The sequence below is a fragment of the Homo sapiens genome, chromosome 2, assembly GCF_000001405.40.
Source record: "Homo sapiens chromosome 2, GRCh38.p14 Primary Assembly".
Lineage (NCBI taxonomy): Eukaryota > Metazoa > Chordata > Mammalia > Primates > Hominidae > Homo > Homo sapiens.
Window position 1 is genome coordinate 225,568,563 of NC_000002.12, and position 16,138 is coordinate 225,584,700.

General features: G+C 41.2%; 1 protein-coding gene across 4 annotated transcripts in view; it reads left to right on the forward strand.

Moving 5' to 3' along the window:
- Positions 1–16,138, forward strand: part of NYAP2 (neuronal tyrosine-phosphorylated phosphoinositide-3-kinase adaptor 2) — a 305,716-nt gene that overhangs the window by 170,624 nt on the left and 118,954 nt on the right. For all 4 annotated transcript variants that reach the window (XM_047445201.1, NM_001371273.1, XM_047445200.1 and 1 more), the window contains one exon: positions 13,379–14,473. In XM_047445201.1, coding sequence (XP_047301157.1) covers positions 13,379–14,473 — 1,095 coding nt within the window. The remainder of the gene's footprint in view (positions 1–13,378; positions 14,474–16,138) is intronic.

The following is a 16,138-nucleotide window of genomic DNA, read 5'->3' on the forward strand; positions in this document are numbered from 1 at the left end:
AGCAGTGAACAAAGATTTACCAAGAATCTGTGATATTCTAGTCACTTTACCCTAATGATTTAGCTAAGATCAAGACAGACAAGGAACCATTATTGTCATGCAGATTATAGTCAAGTGGGGAAAAGGGAAATACCTAAACTGGCACCAATAAGCTCACATAAACCAATGGAGAGGAAAACAAGAGAAATATCCAACAGGGATAAGTTCTGATTGGATGTGCATAGAAGACTTCTTTGAAGAGGTAACATTTATGCTGAGATCTGAGTGACACAAAGAAGTCAGCATTGTATAGGAGATATAGAGGTTGAGAGGGAAAGCTTTCCCCCTTATACTCTGAAGGTTTCCTGAAAATCAACTAAAAAAAGGGAGATAAGAGAAAAGGCAAACAAACTTTATTTTAATGTGCATAGCACAGGGGAATCATGGAGGAATGATTACCTAATAACCTGATGGGGTACAGATGTTTATATAAATTTCTTCATAGGGGAAGGGGAAATGGAAGAAATGCAGCTATATGAGGGATAGCAAATAATTTTTAGTGGGGAAATGAATGGACTTGGAGAACATAAAGTGGCCTGGGATGAAGTCTGTTGGGCCCACAGAGCAGACAATGGCTGGTAAATGATTACCTTTGAGATACTGAATGGGACAGAAATAGAAGACAATGGCTTATGACAAAAGTCTGTTCAGGTGTGTTGACAGACTTCAGTCTTTCTTTTTGCAATATGATTTAAGTTAATGAAAACTCAGGGAAGGTACCAGAGAAAATTGTTTTCTTCTTTGGTAGGTCTGGGCTTTAGGCAGTAAGGAAACTTCAGATAACAACTCAATTCTGTGCTTTCAAAGAGAGAGGGGATTGAGAGAAAGGAGGAGTGAGGGGGGGAGGTGAGAGAGACCTCGAGACTGCTTCTTTAGGCCAGCATGTCACAGTGCTGTATTTTGGGCTATTGACTTCCATGCTTCAACAGGAACACAAGCATTCCTGGGAGCAGGAATAAACTCAGTGTTTTAGAGAAAGTAAAATATTAATAGGTATACATTTTGAGGCCCTTCCAAGTGGCAGGAATTCTGCTAATGGTTTTAAATGCACAGACTCATTGTCTCGTTTGATTTTCATAATCAGTCCTACAAATATCTCCTCCTTATAGATGAACAAACAGGTTAAGTAGTGGTTCAAGATCATGATAGGATTGGAACTGAGATCTCTCTGATTCCAGAGCACGTTCTCCCTATGTGTTCTCATGTCTTATGCTCTGCTGTTCACATCTATTAGGTTATGGAACCTAATATTTTAGCATAACCTCCCACTGAGATCATTCCTGCAGAATAGTTCCTGTCCCTGATAGATACATTGTCTCCAATTCTTTTCTTTATCCTACTAGACTTGTGTAAAGGATGGAATGGCAGGTGCAATCTGAGAGCCTGTAGTAGTAGAGCTGAGGAAATGTCTGCAGCACCACCACTGTTTCTGTTCTCTACAAGCAGGCTATGTCTAATGGACATCCCATGTCTAGAACAGGAGGAGAGTGATTTGGAAACAAGCTACTGCCCTGGAATGCAAATATCAAACTAGAACTTGTGATATACACTGTGAACAGAGGGCTGTGTCTTCTTGGGAATGCTGGCTGCCTGCCTGGATAGAATGCCACAAAAGGGTGTTACTGTGCTGAATTTGCCTTGGTACAGGTTTGGCCACAATCTACAAGCTCAGAAACTCCCTCTCATCAGATGTCTAGAGTAGACAAACTCAAAGAGATGGGTACATAGAACTAGAATCCCACTTTGCTCTTTTTCTAATAAGAAACTATATTTGTCCATTCTCACACCACTATAAAGAAATAACCTGAGACTGGGTAATTTATAAAGAAAAGAGGTTTAATTGACTCACAGTTCTGCATGGCTGGGGAGGCCTCAGGAAACTTACAGTCATGGTGGATGGCACCTCTTCACAGGGCAGCAGGAGAGAGAATGAGTGCCAACAGGGGAAATGCCAGATGCCTATGAAACCATCAGATCTCATGAGAACTCACTCACTATCATGAGAACAGCATGGGGGAAACTGCCCCCAATATTCAATTACTTCTCACTGGGCCCATCCCATAACACATGGGGATTATGGGAACTATAAGATGAGATTTGGGTGGGGACATAACCAAACCATATCATTCTGCCCCCTGGCCCCTCCCAAATCTCATGTCCTCACATTTCAATGCATAATCATGCCTTCCCAACAGTCCCCCAAAGTCTTAACTCATTCCAGCATTAACCCAAAAGGCCAAGTCCAAAGTCTTATCTGAGACAAGGCAAGTCCCTTCCACCTATGAGCCTGTAAAATCAAAGCAAGTTAGTTACTTCCAAGATACAATGGGATTACAGGCATTGGGTAAATATGCATGTTCCAAACAAGATGAATTAGTCAAAACAAAGGGGCTACAGGCCCCATGCAAGTCCAAAATCCAATAGGGTAGTCATTAAATCTTAAAGTTCCAAAATGATCTCCTTTGACCCCTTGTCTCACATCCAGGTCATGCTGATGCAAGAATTGGGCTCCCATGGCCTTGGGCAGCTCAGTCCCTATGGCTGTGGATGGTACAGCCCCACTCTGTGCTGCTTTCACAGGCTGGTGTTGAGTGTCTGTGGGTTTTCCAGGCTTTTCCAGGCACATGGTGCAAGCTGTTAGTGGATCTACCATTCTGGGGTCTGGAGGACGGTGGCCCTCTTCTCACAGCTCCATTAGGAAGTGCCACAGTGGGGACTCTGTATGGGGGCTCCCACCCCACATTTCCCTTCCACACTGCCATAGCAGAGGTTCTCCATGAGGACTCTGCTTCTTCAGCAAACTTCTGCCTAGACATACAAGCATTTCCATACATCCTTGGAAATCTAGGTGAAGATTCCCAAACCCCAACTCTCGACTTCTGTGCCCCCACAGGGCCCAGCACCACATGAAAGCTGCCTAAGTTTAGGACTTGCATCCTTTGAAGCAATGGCCGAGTTGTACCTTGGCCCCTTTTAGCCATGGCTGGAGCTGAAGCAGATGGGATGCAGGGCACCATATCCTGAGGTTTCACAGAGCAGGGGGGCCCTGGCTCCAGCCCATAAAACCCTTTTTTCCTCCTAGGCCTCTGGGCCTGTGATGGGAGGGGATGCTGTGAAGGCCTCTGACATGCCCTGGAGACATTTTCCCCATTATCTTGGTGATTAACATTTGGCTCCTTGTTACTTATGCAAATTTCTGCAGCTGCAACAGGCTTGAATTTCTCCATAGAAAATGGGTTTTTCTTTTCTGTTGCATTGTCAGGCTGCAGATTTTCCAAACTTTTATTCTCTACTTCCTCTTGAACGCTTTGCTGCTTAGAAATTTCTTCCACCACATACACTAAATCATCTCTCTCAAGTTCAAAGTTCCACAGATCTCCAGGGCAGGGGCAAAATGCCATCAGTCTCTTTGCTAAAGCATAGCAAGAATCACCTTTGCTCCAGTTCCCAAGAAGTTCCTCATCTCCAACTGAGACCACTTCAGCCTGCACTTCATTGTTCACATCACTATCAGCATTTGGGTCAAAACCATTCAACAAGTCTCTCTAGGAAGTTTCAAACTTTCCCACGTTTTCCTTTCTTCTTCCAAGCCCTCCAAACTGTTCCAACCTCTGCCTGTTACCCAGTTCCAAAGTGACTTCCACATTTTCAGCTATCTTTACAGAAGTGCCCCGCTATCCGTTACCAATTTACTGTATTAATCTGTTCTCACACTGCTATAAAGAACTGCCTGAGACTGGGTAATTTATAAAGAAAAGAGGTTTAATTGACTCACAGTTCTGTATGGCTGGGAGGCCTCAGGAAACTTACAATCATGGCAGAAGACACCTCTTCACAGGGGTGCAGGAGAGAGAATGAGTGCCAGCAGTGGAAATGTCAGACAATTATAAAACCATCAGATGTTGTGAGAACTCATTATCATGAGAACTGCATGGAGGAAACTACCCCCATGATTCAATTACTTCTCACCGGTTCCCTCCCATGACATTTGGGGATTATGGGAATTACAATTTAAGATGAGATTTGTGTGGGGACACAGTCAAATCATATTAGAAACATAGGCATAAAACTTTGGAAATATAAATTATTAAAAGCTTTCTCATCGAATCTGAACTTAGAAAATGAATGACTCATAAGAATTATGTATGTAGTGGCTTCAGGCTCTACTAGCATGCTGAGTCCATGTCCACAACAGAGATCTGACAGAGGACCAGATCCCCTAGGTACTGCTGTAAGGGGCCACCAGGCTTTGCTCCATGGTCTTAAGGTTTTCCATCCTTGTGGCTGGCGACCTCTACTCTGGTTGTTCTTCCTTTATATATATATTAATACCTTGTCTCTGATTTCAATCCAGATTTTTGACTAGAAAGAATGTAATCTTTTTCTATCTCCTCTCTGAATCATCCTGTGGTGATTTTATAATACTCAAAGGAAAGCTTACTTTCTTAATTTCTATATTCTAAAAGGATGCTTTCTGTATCCTCAGGGTATAGTCTATACCCTAGTTCTATGAAAATGATATTATTTTTTCAATGAGATACCCACATGCACAGGAAATTAATTTTGGATTTTTTTTTCAGTTATCTATTGCTGTGTAATAAACTAAACCAAAATACCATGGCTTAGAACAACAACAACATTATTATTTCTTTTTTTTTTTTTTTTTTGAGACAAAATTCTGTTCTTGTCACCCAGGCTGGAGTGCAATGCCGTGATCTAGGCTCACTGTAACTTCTGCCTCCATGGTTCAAACAATTCTCCTTCCTCAGCCTCCCGAGTAGCTGGGATTACAGGTGCCTGCCACCACGCTGGGCTAATTTTTGTATTTTTAGTAGAGACGGGGTTTCACTATGTTGGTCAGGCTGGTCTCGAACTTATGACCTTGTGATCCACCTGCCTCAGTCCCCCAAAGTGCTGGGATTGCAGGTGTGAGCCACCACGCCTGGCCCCAAAATTTTATTATTTCTTGTTGTTCTGTGAGTTGTTGGCTTATATGGGTGGTTCCTCTGCTTTATGTGACAATGGCTGGGGCCTCTTATTTTTCTGTACTCAGCTGGCAGTTGGGATGGGTTGGAACGTTGAAGAATGCTTCACTCACATGTCTGAGCAATCTTTCTCCTCTGTGTGGCCTCTTCTATGACTAGGTTGAACTTCTTCGTAACATGTTGGTCTAAGAGGTCTTTCACAGCAATTGGCTCTCAAGATAGAGGAAGTGAATCCTGCCAGTCCTCTTACATCTAAGACTTAGAAAATCACTTCTGACATACTCTGTAGGTCAAGGCAAGTCACAAGGTCAGCTCTTATTTCAGGAGAGGGAGATAGATCTTATCTATTGATAGACAGAATGTGTAAAAGCAGGGAAGGTGTTGAGGGTGGCTATCTTGAAAGACTGTCAAACGAAATTTGCCTTCCAGCCACAATATTTCCAATAGGCAAAATATTCTCACCCTGTTCCCCAAAAGTTTCATGACATGGCAATATCAGATTGAAATCAAGGTTTCATTATCTAAGTCACGCCCATGTGCAATGAGGCATCTTGGTGCAGTTTCTCAGGCACAGCTCCTAGGTTGCAATTCCTCATATGCAAAGGCTTTGAATTAAAAGTACAGTTTATCTGCAACCGCACAAACCCAATATACACTGGCAGGTCAGGGGCAGGTAAAGTGTGATGTACAGTCTCGTTCAAACAGTGGGGGCTAGAGGAAGGGGAGGAACATAGAAGTCACTGGTTCGCAGCAATTCAGAAGTTCAGTTAGACTCATGTCCAGTTCTCCCTACTCTGAGGGCAAAAAAGATTGTTGATAAGGGCTCAATTTTCCTCCCTGGTTTTGATTATCTGTGGTTCTTGATTTTGCTCTCTAAGCTCTTGAATCTACTCTCCAAATCCTCTTTTCTTTTCTGTAACAAATGACCTGTACCTGTAAGTGAGTAGTTTTCCTAGCTACTTCCAGCCTTTAAAAGTTTTGGGGCCCAAAGTGTTTTTTCATTTAAATTTTAAACTATCTCTCTCCTGTCTAAACAGTGTTGCCAAGTATTCTTATAATTTTTGTGGGCTTTCTATGAATGAGATCATACTACATTTCTTTAGATGAAAGACAGAACTACAAATTGCCTTGAGAAAGGCTTCTCTCTACTTAAGGCTATGGTCAGTGCATTGTGGCACAGTGTTTGTGAGATGCTTTAGAGCCCCAGGTTCAGTACCGTAAATCTTTCAGAGATGTCAACAGGGGCTCTTATAGTCAAGCCCTTCATTTGATTTTTACAAGTCCACATTTTACTGGCGGAGTTCTGAATTTGACCTTTGCTCTGAGGCTTGTTTTCATTTTGAAACCTTTTGCTGCTCAGAAAAGTCTTCATGGCAAACACTGCACTGAAGCTATTTCCTTTCATTTCTGCTTGAGAACTAAGCAGTTCTTTCCTTAGTGCTCTGTCTCCTGCAATCCTGTATCGTACATAGCTAAAACAGACCAACTCAGTTTCATCTTCTTCCAGAACTCTCCTTCGTTAGGTCCACAGTTTCATGAGGTACATTTCGTATATTCTGCATTACGACAGGCAACATCTTGCCAATTTTTCCCCAATATATAACACCATGCTCCCCTTTTCCAGCCTCCAATATCAATTTCCTTAACAGCTTTAGAGCTTACAGCTGGTCTCCTCACTATCCTTCAGGCCTCTGCTGTCACTGAGTACCAAAACCGGTGTACAAGTTTTAGATTTTTGTTATAGTAGCACCATACTTCTGATACCAGTTTTAGGTATGTATAACTGCATAATTTAGAGATGTAAAAAGCAATGATTATATTTGCTCAAAATTCTGTGGGTTAAAATTTCAACAGAACACTGTGGGGATGGCTTACCACTGAGCCAAAATGTCTGCTATCTCATCTAAGGTAGCTCAGGCAGATGTGGGGGCCACTGGGACAGCTTTACTGAAGTTGTATGGCTAGGGTTTCATTTTCATTATTGATTCCATTTCTTGGTTCTTTTCCTCATGGATAGCTTGAGCTTCCTTACAGCATGGTGATCTTCTGAGTGTTCAGATTTATGACTTAGTGGCTTGTTTTCTTTGGGAGAAAGTGGAAGCTGCCAGAATCAAGGGGAGAAGAAATAGACTCCACTTCTTACTGAATGAGAACATATGTAGGTATAGGGAGAAAAAGAATTTATAGATCAATTACTGGAGACTGTCAGCCAGATGTGTTCTGGCTTAGGATTTTCCAAACATTCTTGATCATGACCTATAAGAAATGTGTGTGGCTTAGGGAATTTCTATATGCTTAAATATTGTTTCAAGAAGCAAGCTTTAGCTCTTTGCCATGAAAGGTACTTATATTTTCTAATCTATTCTAATTTATTGTTTTAAAATGCTGGTTACAAACTCTAATTTTATTTTACAACTAGTGGATTGAAATGAACACTTCAAAGAACAGTAGTTCTGATTAAAGTCCCTTGTTGTATATATAGCAAAAGTGAGTGTAAATAAAAATATACTTCAAAGTAATTTTCCAATGTTCTGCATCCTGACTGAGGCAGAGAAGGGATTAGAATTATGTCTTCTAGTTTAAGCCAAGACCCTTTCAGTCCCACTTGACTTTTTGACCACACTGTTGAGCCAGTTCCATGCCTTACTTCATCTGGTTCCACCAAAATGTTCATCTGAGTTCTCTACTTTCACTGTCGCCAGATCCAGGACTGTAACACAGGTCCTACAACTTTGAACCCGATCCTTTTTGTACATGATTACACTTTCTTATTCCTACTATAAACAGACTAAGGCCATTTGCAACTTCCATTCCTTAACAAACATCTTAATTAAAAAAAAATAGTGGATAGTATTGTGGGGCTTGTGACTGTGAAAATAAAAATATCCTTCAGAGTCATGGAGTTGTGAGTTGTGAAAAGAGTTATTGTGAGCACAGTTCTGCTGAAAGTGGGAAATGTGTCTCTCACCTTCCAGAATCAGCCAGTTCCAGTATCACACAGTGTAGACATTATTTTCCTTCAATGGATTCACATTTTCCTGCTTGAATTACTTATTTAAATATAACTCTAAAACATGATAAGCAAAGTTATAGTGCTGCTATGGAAAGGACTGTTTAAAAGGATACTTTATGCCATATACAAAATAATGAATTGCATAGCTTTTTCCTTTATGGGTTTCTTTGTTTCAAAGGGTGTGGAATTAAATTTAAGTTTTGAGATTCTCTTAGATATTGTGGTTAGTAAGGAATTCATATTTGTTCATTAGTAATATATGGAATCTGGGCTGGATATCTCAAAGAGCCCTTCGTATTCTGGGATTCTGTGGCCACAGTCTTTCTAGGAAGGGACAAGGCTAACCTCTGTTGTATCTCTTTTTTTCACCTCTTGGGTCAAGAACACCTACAGATACTAAAGCATGGTTTTACATTACACTTTTTTTTTTTTAAATAAGGAAAAAAGTATTTCCTAAAGATAGGTTGACAAGGCACGAGGTGAATTTCCAAAATTAACTGTGAAAGGAAGATCATCTGGGCATGACTGAAAGCCATGTATAACCTTTGTGCTCACATAGCTCATTTCAAAAATGTCACTTTCTGCTTATTAAATGCTACTGTCATGATACTATTTTAAGCATTAAACTTGTGTTCTGGAGCTGAACAGGAATTATTGCTTCTATCTTTGGGCTTATTAGAAATAATTTAAAATTTATTCAGGAGTGATAAAAATCACCTTTTTATTATGGTTGAATTTGGTTAAATTGAAATTTGCAGTGACATTTTATTGTCTTTTATTAGCAATATTTTAGCATCTATGTATGTAACTCAAGACTATTTTTAAGTACCTTATAAAGAAGTGGCATTTTAAATAATTTTTTTTTTAATTTTTATGTTCCTAGAATGAGGTTAAGTTGGAATACATTATGGGACAATGTTATCTGAAATTTTGTACTTTTCTTATATAGATACACTTTTAAAACAGCACCCATGATAGTGGCAGTTGAAACACATTTTCATTGTTATATAAATTATTTACTCAATACTTGCACTAAGGTAAGACCAGATGATTCATGGAAAATGAAAAGAAAAATTAGTTTATTGGAAACAAATTTGTTTCCTCCTCTGACTTACCTCAAAGAACCATGATTTACCTCAAAGAACCTCTGATTTACCTCGAAGAACCATGAGATTACAAGGACGGATGTCAGGGAATGAAAAGCAGATTTTTTTTTTTTTTTAAAAAAAGAAGCCCCTGCCCCCATATTGAAAGAATGAATCTGTTAATTCATCCTGATCATCTATAATTTACTGAAGAGTCTATTCTCTAAACATCCTCACACCCTCATTTAATTTAATTTATTATATTTTGAGACAGTCTTGCTCTGTCACCCAGGCTGGAGTACAGTGGTGCCATCTTGGGTCACTGCAACTTCTGCCTCCTGGGTTCAAGCTATTCTCCTGCCTCAGCCTCTTGAGATACTAGGGATTATAAGTATGCATCACCACGCCTGGCTAATTTTTGTATTTTTAGTAGAGATGGGGTTTCACCATGTTGGCCAGGCTGGTCTCGAACTCCTGACCTCAAGTAATCCACCTGCCTCCGCCTCCCAAGGTGCTAGGATTACAGGTGTGAGCCATTGCACCCCACACTCACACCTTCATTTTAAAGTTGGATCAATAATAAGAAAAAGGACTGGAGGGGAAATTGCTTGAACTTTATGAATCTGCCTGCATTAGGCTCTCTTCACCAAGCAGGGAAGGGAAGAGGGAAGAAGCTTGCCTAGATAAAGAGGGATTCCCTGGGCAAGGCAGGCTAGAGACTAACTTCAGCTTGTGGGCTGAACAAGCAGAGCAGTGTGATGCAGGGAGTAAGTGTATCAAAACAAACAACAAACAGCAAACATCCAGAAAATGGGTCAGATTTAAGTAGTAAGCGCCTTCCACAAATTAGAAACTGGAGAGTCAGATCAAGAAGAGTAAGCAGGACAAGCCATGTGGTGGAAGGGTGCTCTTGGCCCATGTATGGGATAAGCATCGCCAGATGTAGCCAGAATGTGCTCTCTGTGACATAGTTGTAAAAGTTAAGGAGATAAGGGACAGGGAGCAGGAGAAACTTAAGCGGCTTGGAAAGAGTTGTTTAATTGTAAAATAACAAAGTTAGTTAATGTTTTCCAGTGCCAGAGGATGACATTAAAATGTTCATCGTTCATCTGTAAAGGTCTTTTACATTAGGACTTAATAAATATAATGTTGTCTTAGGTAGCTAAGCTCATTTTGCTGTAAGAAAATTAGAGAGTGGTTTAAATTAGAGAAATTTTCTCACAATTCTTGGGGCTAAACATTCAAAATCAAGATAGTAGCATGGTCGGTTTCTGATGAGGGCTCTCTACTTGGCTTGTAGACTGATTAGACTGATGCTTTCTCTCTGTTCTCATACGGCATGCACGTGCACGCACACACACGCGCGTGCACACACACACAGAGACATGAAGAGACAGAGAGAAGAGAGGGGAGAGAGAGAGAGAGAGAGAGAGAGAACTCTGCTGTCTCTTCTTATAATCAATCACATCATGAGGGTCCTACCCTCATGACCTCATCCAAGCCTAATTATCTCCCAAAGGATCTATCTCCAGATACCATCACTTTGGAAGTTAGGGCTTCAACAGATGAATTTTTTTGTGGAAGAATGGGGACCCAATTCAGTCAATAGCAACTGTCAACTCTGATAATCTCACAGGCACCATAAGAGCCATATGTTATATTTTGTTTCCCGTGTCATACAACATCTATACTTGGTTTGTCATTGAAATTGTTTGTAAATGGATTGTCCAGATTCCTTCTCAATTAGCAGTTGTTCTACTTAATTCTAAGTATGCTGCACTCTGCAATAGAAACTTCTGTTTCTTAAATCATTTCCTAGATATAGAGGGGCTTTATTTCATTTTTTCTGTTTCTTTTGGCAAACGAAATGGCATTTGCTCACAATTGGAGTAAATCCAGACATAGCTCTCTTCCATTCCAAAGGCCACCTTCTCATCTGTGTGGGAAAGAGAGAAGTTGTCACCAGTGTTGTTCATCAACCGTTGCTTCTCTGAATGCCGTGCCATGCCCAGATCTGCCACTGAAAGCCTCACTACCTGAGAATCCCACACTGTAGCCTCCCATAAATGCAGTGCTGCTACCTAGGCATAGGCTCAGCAGATGCTTAAGTTCTTACCCTGTTATTTCTCTCCATAATCTATGTTGGAGTATCAGACTTTAGTGAAGGGTCAAAGATAATGAAAGCAAATTATAATTTAAGAGGGTGAAAATGAAAATATAATTCTAAATATGATTATTTCTGTATGATGAAATTACCCATCTCAGGGACACACACTAATTTCTAGCCTTAGGTTAACCCTCCCTTCATAGAGCATCTCTCTCTTCAGTCCTCTGCCCTCAAAGAATTCCCTCAACCCCAGTCCATTCAATTCCTATAACTCAATATTTGTAGAAAATAGTTTCCCAGAGCCTGCACTTGGTCTACAGTCATTTCTTGCTGTTGAGGGTGGCAGGAAACAAGTTCCAGAAGAATAGTCTGGATGAGCTTTGGTTCTTCCAAGTCCTGACCAAAACTTTGTCAACCTTGTTCACTGATTTACAGTTTTACATTATTGGGGCTCAGACTTTTGTATATAATCTGATGACTTACTAAAATTATATGAAAATTAATGTACTCAGATTTCAAAACCAGTAAAATATATGCCAAGTTAGGTGGTACAATTATTGGTTGCTTTAGGTCCCTCCTAAAAAGATTGACTGCATAGTTTTCACCCCATTTTGTCTCTAGGCTTTTCACTTTGGGCATTAAAAGACTTTACTGCTACAGCCTCCCCCTGGAAAATAACATCTAGTTCTACCCAGTATGGGTTAATGGAAATTCTACACAGATTATGAACCTTCCCCTCAAAAAGCTGTTTGATTGTAGTGAGTAAAACCATCATCATAGGCACATTGGAACAAAATATTTGAAACAGGGGTGATCTAGAAAGGTGAAATACATAGTCACTGCTAGAATATTTGATTGGTTCCCTGTTGCTGAAGTCTCAGTTGATGGATGGAACAGCCATCTAGCTTATCCTTAAGCACTTTCAGCTCCTTTACCATGTTTTAGTAAAACTCTTGTATATAAATTAGGCCAGTTAAAAAAAAAAAAGGAAGACTCAGGTGTTTCCCGATTTGTGCCTTGAGACCCTTCTCTTTAGCTTGTTAGCTCCTCACAGTCTTACAACTCTAAGTTGTACTGTCAACTCACTATATGCTACTATCTTCTGTAAGCAACCACATTCTGCTACATTGCATAATAAAGATGATCACTGTAATCATATATCAACACAATGAGATAATGAGATAATAACAAGACTCAAGTACCTTCCTTGCATGCTAAACAACTGAATTTAGTCACAGGCATTTGCCAGCCTCTTCCGTGCTATTGTATGATGTCAGAAGTTTATGTTCTGTCAATAAAGGGTCTTCCAGCAGGCTGTGCAATACGTTGGTACACATATCTGTTGTGAGTTTCCAGAAGTTATTCTTGAAACTTACACATCATTCCCTGAGTTATTCTCTTTTAACACTCTTGAGGGCATTCTGATGTGTCAGTGGAACATATCTAATAAATTCATTCTGAGACAGCATTTGGAATATCATAAGAGATCTTAAGAACAAAAACAGACAAATACACCATAATCAACAATACCTGGAGATTTAAAGATTAACTTGTCTAGCCTCATAAGATTTTCACATCAATTTCCCCTGAAATATCAGACCCATCTGTATGGAAGCTATTTATTTGAACCAAGACAGATTTTAAGTCTAGCAGGCTGAGAAATTTTTATCCTAAATGCAAGCAAGATGTGTTCACCTATAAAAACCACATCAGTAAAACAGTGCAATCTGTATGGTATTTTTGACCAATAGTGCTAACAGAGACTTTAGGTTTTTTTTCCTCCTGCATTTCTTTCTCAATTCATGCAGGTTAATTTTCACAAAATTTATGAGTATTTTATCCAGTATGTTTCATCTGAAAGCTTCTCCTTAGGCATTCTAAAGGAAAGGGGTGAACAGTCCTGGTTTTAATGCATTTATCAGTGTTAGATTATTAATATCAGTTTAAAGATGACTATTATTCTGCCATCAGGTTTTCTAAATAAGGGAATGCTTGACTCTTTGGTTGATTTTTACTCTGAAACTCAAACTAAGAATGAAGCTGTCTACCCCTCTGGCCTAAAGTTTATTGTAGTAAACCCACATGCAAATCATTTTTGAAAACTTTCCTATTATACTCATCTATTCCACTACGTTTTTTCTTCTTTTAGCGTCAGCTAAACCAAGACCCCACAGCGATGAATATTCCAAGAAGATTCCTCCTCCCAAACCGAAGCGAAATCCGAACACTCAGCTGAGCACATCTTTCGATGAAACGTACATCAAAAAGCATGGGCCCCGGAGGACGTCGCTGCCGCGGGACTCCTCCTTGTCCCAGATGGGCAGCCCCGCGGGAGACCCCGAGGAAGAGGAGCCCGTGTACATCGAGATGGTGGGGAACATTCTCAGAGACTTCAGGAAGGAGGACGATGACCAGAGCGAGGCCGTCTACGAGGAAATGAAGTACCCTATCTTTGACGACTTGGGCCAAGACGCCAAATGTGACTTCGACCATCACAGCTGTTCTTCGCAGTGTGCTACTCCCACGGTGCCTGACTTGGACTTCGCCAAGGCCTCAGTGCCATGCCCCCCCAAGGGGCTGCTTTGCGACATCCCTCCGCCCTTCCCCAACCTGCTTTCTCACAGACCCCCGCTGCTGGTATTTCCCCCCGCCCCCGTGCATTGCTCCCCCAACTCCGACGAGTCCCCGCTTACCCCTCTGGAGGTCACGAAGCTTCCCGTGCTGGAAAACGTGTCTTACATGAAACAGCCAGCCGGGGCGTCGCCCTCCACGCTGCCGTCCCACGTCCCCGGCCATGCGAAACTGGAGAAAGAGCAGGCCGCGGCCCTGGGACCTGCCTCTGCCACCCCTGCGCTCTCCTCGTCGCCCCCACCCCCGTCTACGCTGTACCGAACCCAGTCTCCCCATGGCTACCCTAAAAGTCACTCCACCTCTCCCTCCCCCGTCAGCATGGGGAGGTCCCTGACTCCCCTGAGCCTCAAAAGGCCTCCCCCTTACGACGCTGTGCATTCGGGCAGCCTCTCAAGGAGCTCTCCTTCAGTGCCTCACTCGACCCCCAGACCCGTGTCGCAAGATGGGGCCAAGATGGTCAACGCCGCGGTGAACACCTACGGGGCAGCCCCGGGTGGCTCCCGGTCCCGGACACCCACGAGCCCGCTGGAGGAGCTGACCAGCCTCTTCTCCTCCGGCCGCAGCCTGCTGCGCAAGTCGTCCAGTGGCCGGCGCTCCAAAGAGCCTGCAGAGAGTAAGTGTGCAGGGCCTGCCTGAGCCCCAGAGCCCAGTGCCAGGCTTACAACCAGGGTGAAGCCCATTGTGTGCAGATAACGCACAGAGTACGGGGTCTTGAGGCCTTGGAGTTGAAATCTTAGCATGCAAACAAAATGTGTTAGTTCATTTTTGCCATGCTAAACCAAATAGTGTATCCTGAAAGTATTAAAAATGGCAGTCTGCAAAATATACTATTTCCTATTTAAAAGAAGAGTGATTTTGAAAAATAAGGTATAAAATCTAAATTCTTGCAATGGTCCTGGAAAGTTGAACAGTGAAAATAGGGACCACTATGGAATTTTAGGTATGTGCAGATAACGCACGGAGTACGTGGTCTTGGGGCCTTTGAGTTGCAATCTTAACGTGCAAAATGTGTTAATTCACTTTTGCCACACTAAGCCAAATAGTGTATCTTGAATGTAAGCTGAAAGAATTAAAAATGACAATCTGCACAATATAACATTTTTAAATAGGAAATGTTATATTCCTATTTAAAAGAAGAGTGTTTAAAAAAAAGTACAAAATCTAAGTTCTTACAATGGCCCTGGAAAGTCAAACAGTGAAAACAGAGACCACTATGGAATTTTTAGGTAAATACCTTGTTTTGGGGGCAGGGAGGTGGGGGGCGGAATTAAACATTCAAACATGCAATTGATAAATGTTAAAACTTGCCTTCATCTTATATTAAAACACTTCTTGAGGCCAGGCATGGTGGCTCGCGCCTGTAATCCCAGCACTTTGGGAGGCCGAGGCGGTCAGATCACGAGGCCAGGCGATCAAGACCATCCTGGTTAACACTGTGAAACCCCATCTCTACTAAAAATACAAAGAAAATTAGCCGGGTGTGGTGGCGGGCACCTTTAGTCCCAGCTACGCGGGAGGCTGAGGCAGGAGAATGGCGCGAACCCGGGAGGCAGAGCTTGTAGTGAGCCCAGATCATGCCACTGCTCTCCAGCCTGGGCGATAGAGCAAGACTCTGTCTCAAAAACAAAAAACAAACAAAAAAAAAACCTTCTTGAGCAAATTCCCATTAGAAAACCTGTGTTGGAAAGAAAGCAGTTTGATTAGAACTTAGAATCTTCTTTGACATACAAAATGATTCTGTCTGTATACTTCATGTTCTTGTATTTTTACCATTACTATAAATGAACATAGACCCATTATTTTCCTTTTAAAAGCCATGGTGATTTTACATCTTATTTCTATGATACTCTTCCTAGATCCATCAATATATAACTTACAGAAAAGTCACTAAGGTGGTGAACATTACTTTTACTACTGAATTTCAAAGACCAGGAAATTTATCTATCTGAATGACTAACACCTTTATGAGTATTAAATCAATTCACAAGTATATAGTAAAGTCAAAACAGACCCAGATTAGTTTTTTCTATGTCCATTTCATTAAATTACATTTCTTTCTCTTATTTAAAAATGCCGTAGGCACCTAAGCTGATAATTAATCACTTACATCTCAAGTAATCCCTCCATGTGATTTTTTATTTATCTATTCATACACTCATACTGAGAACTTTCCTTAAAGGAAAAGAAACTCTCAATACTTTTGATGATGAAAATGACAATGGCATTTTTTAGATAACTAATATTCCTTGGTAGTTACAAGCCACTAATTCTTTTTTTC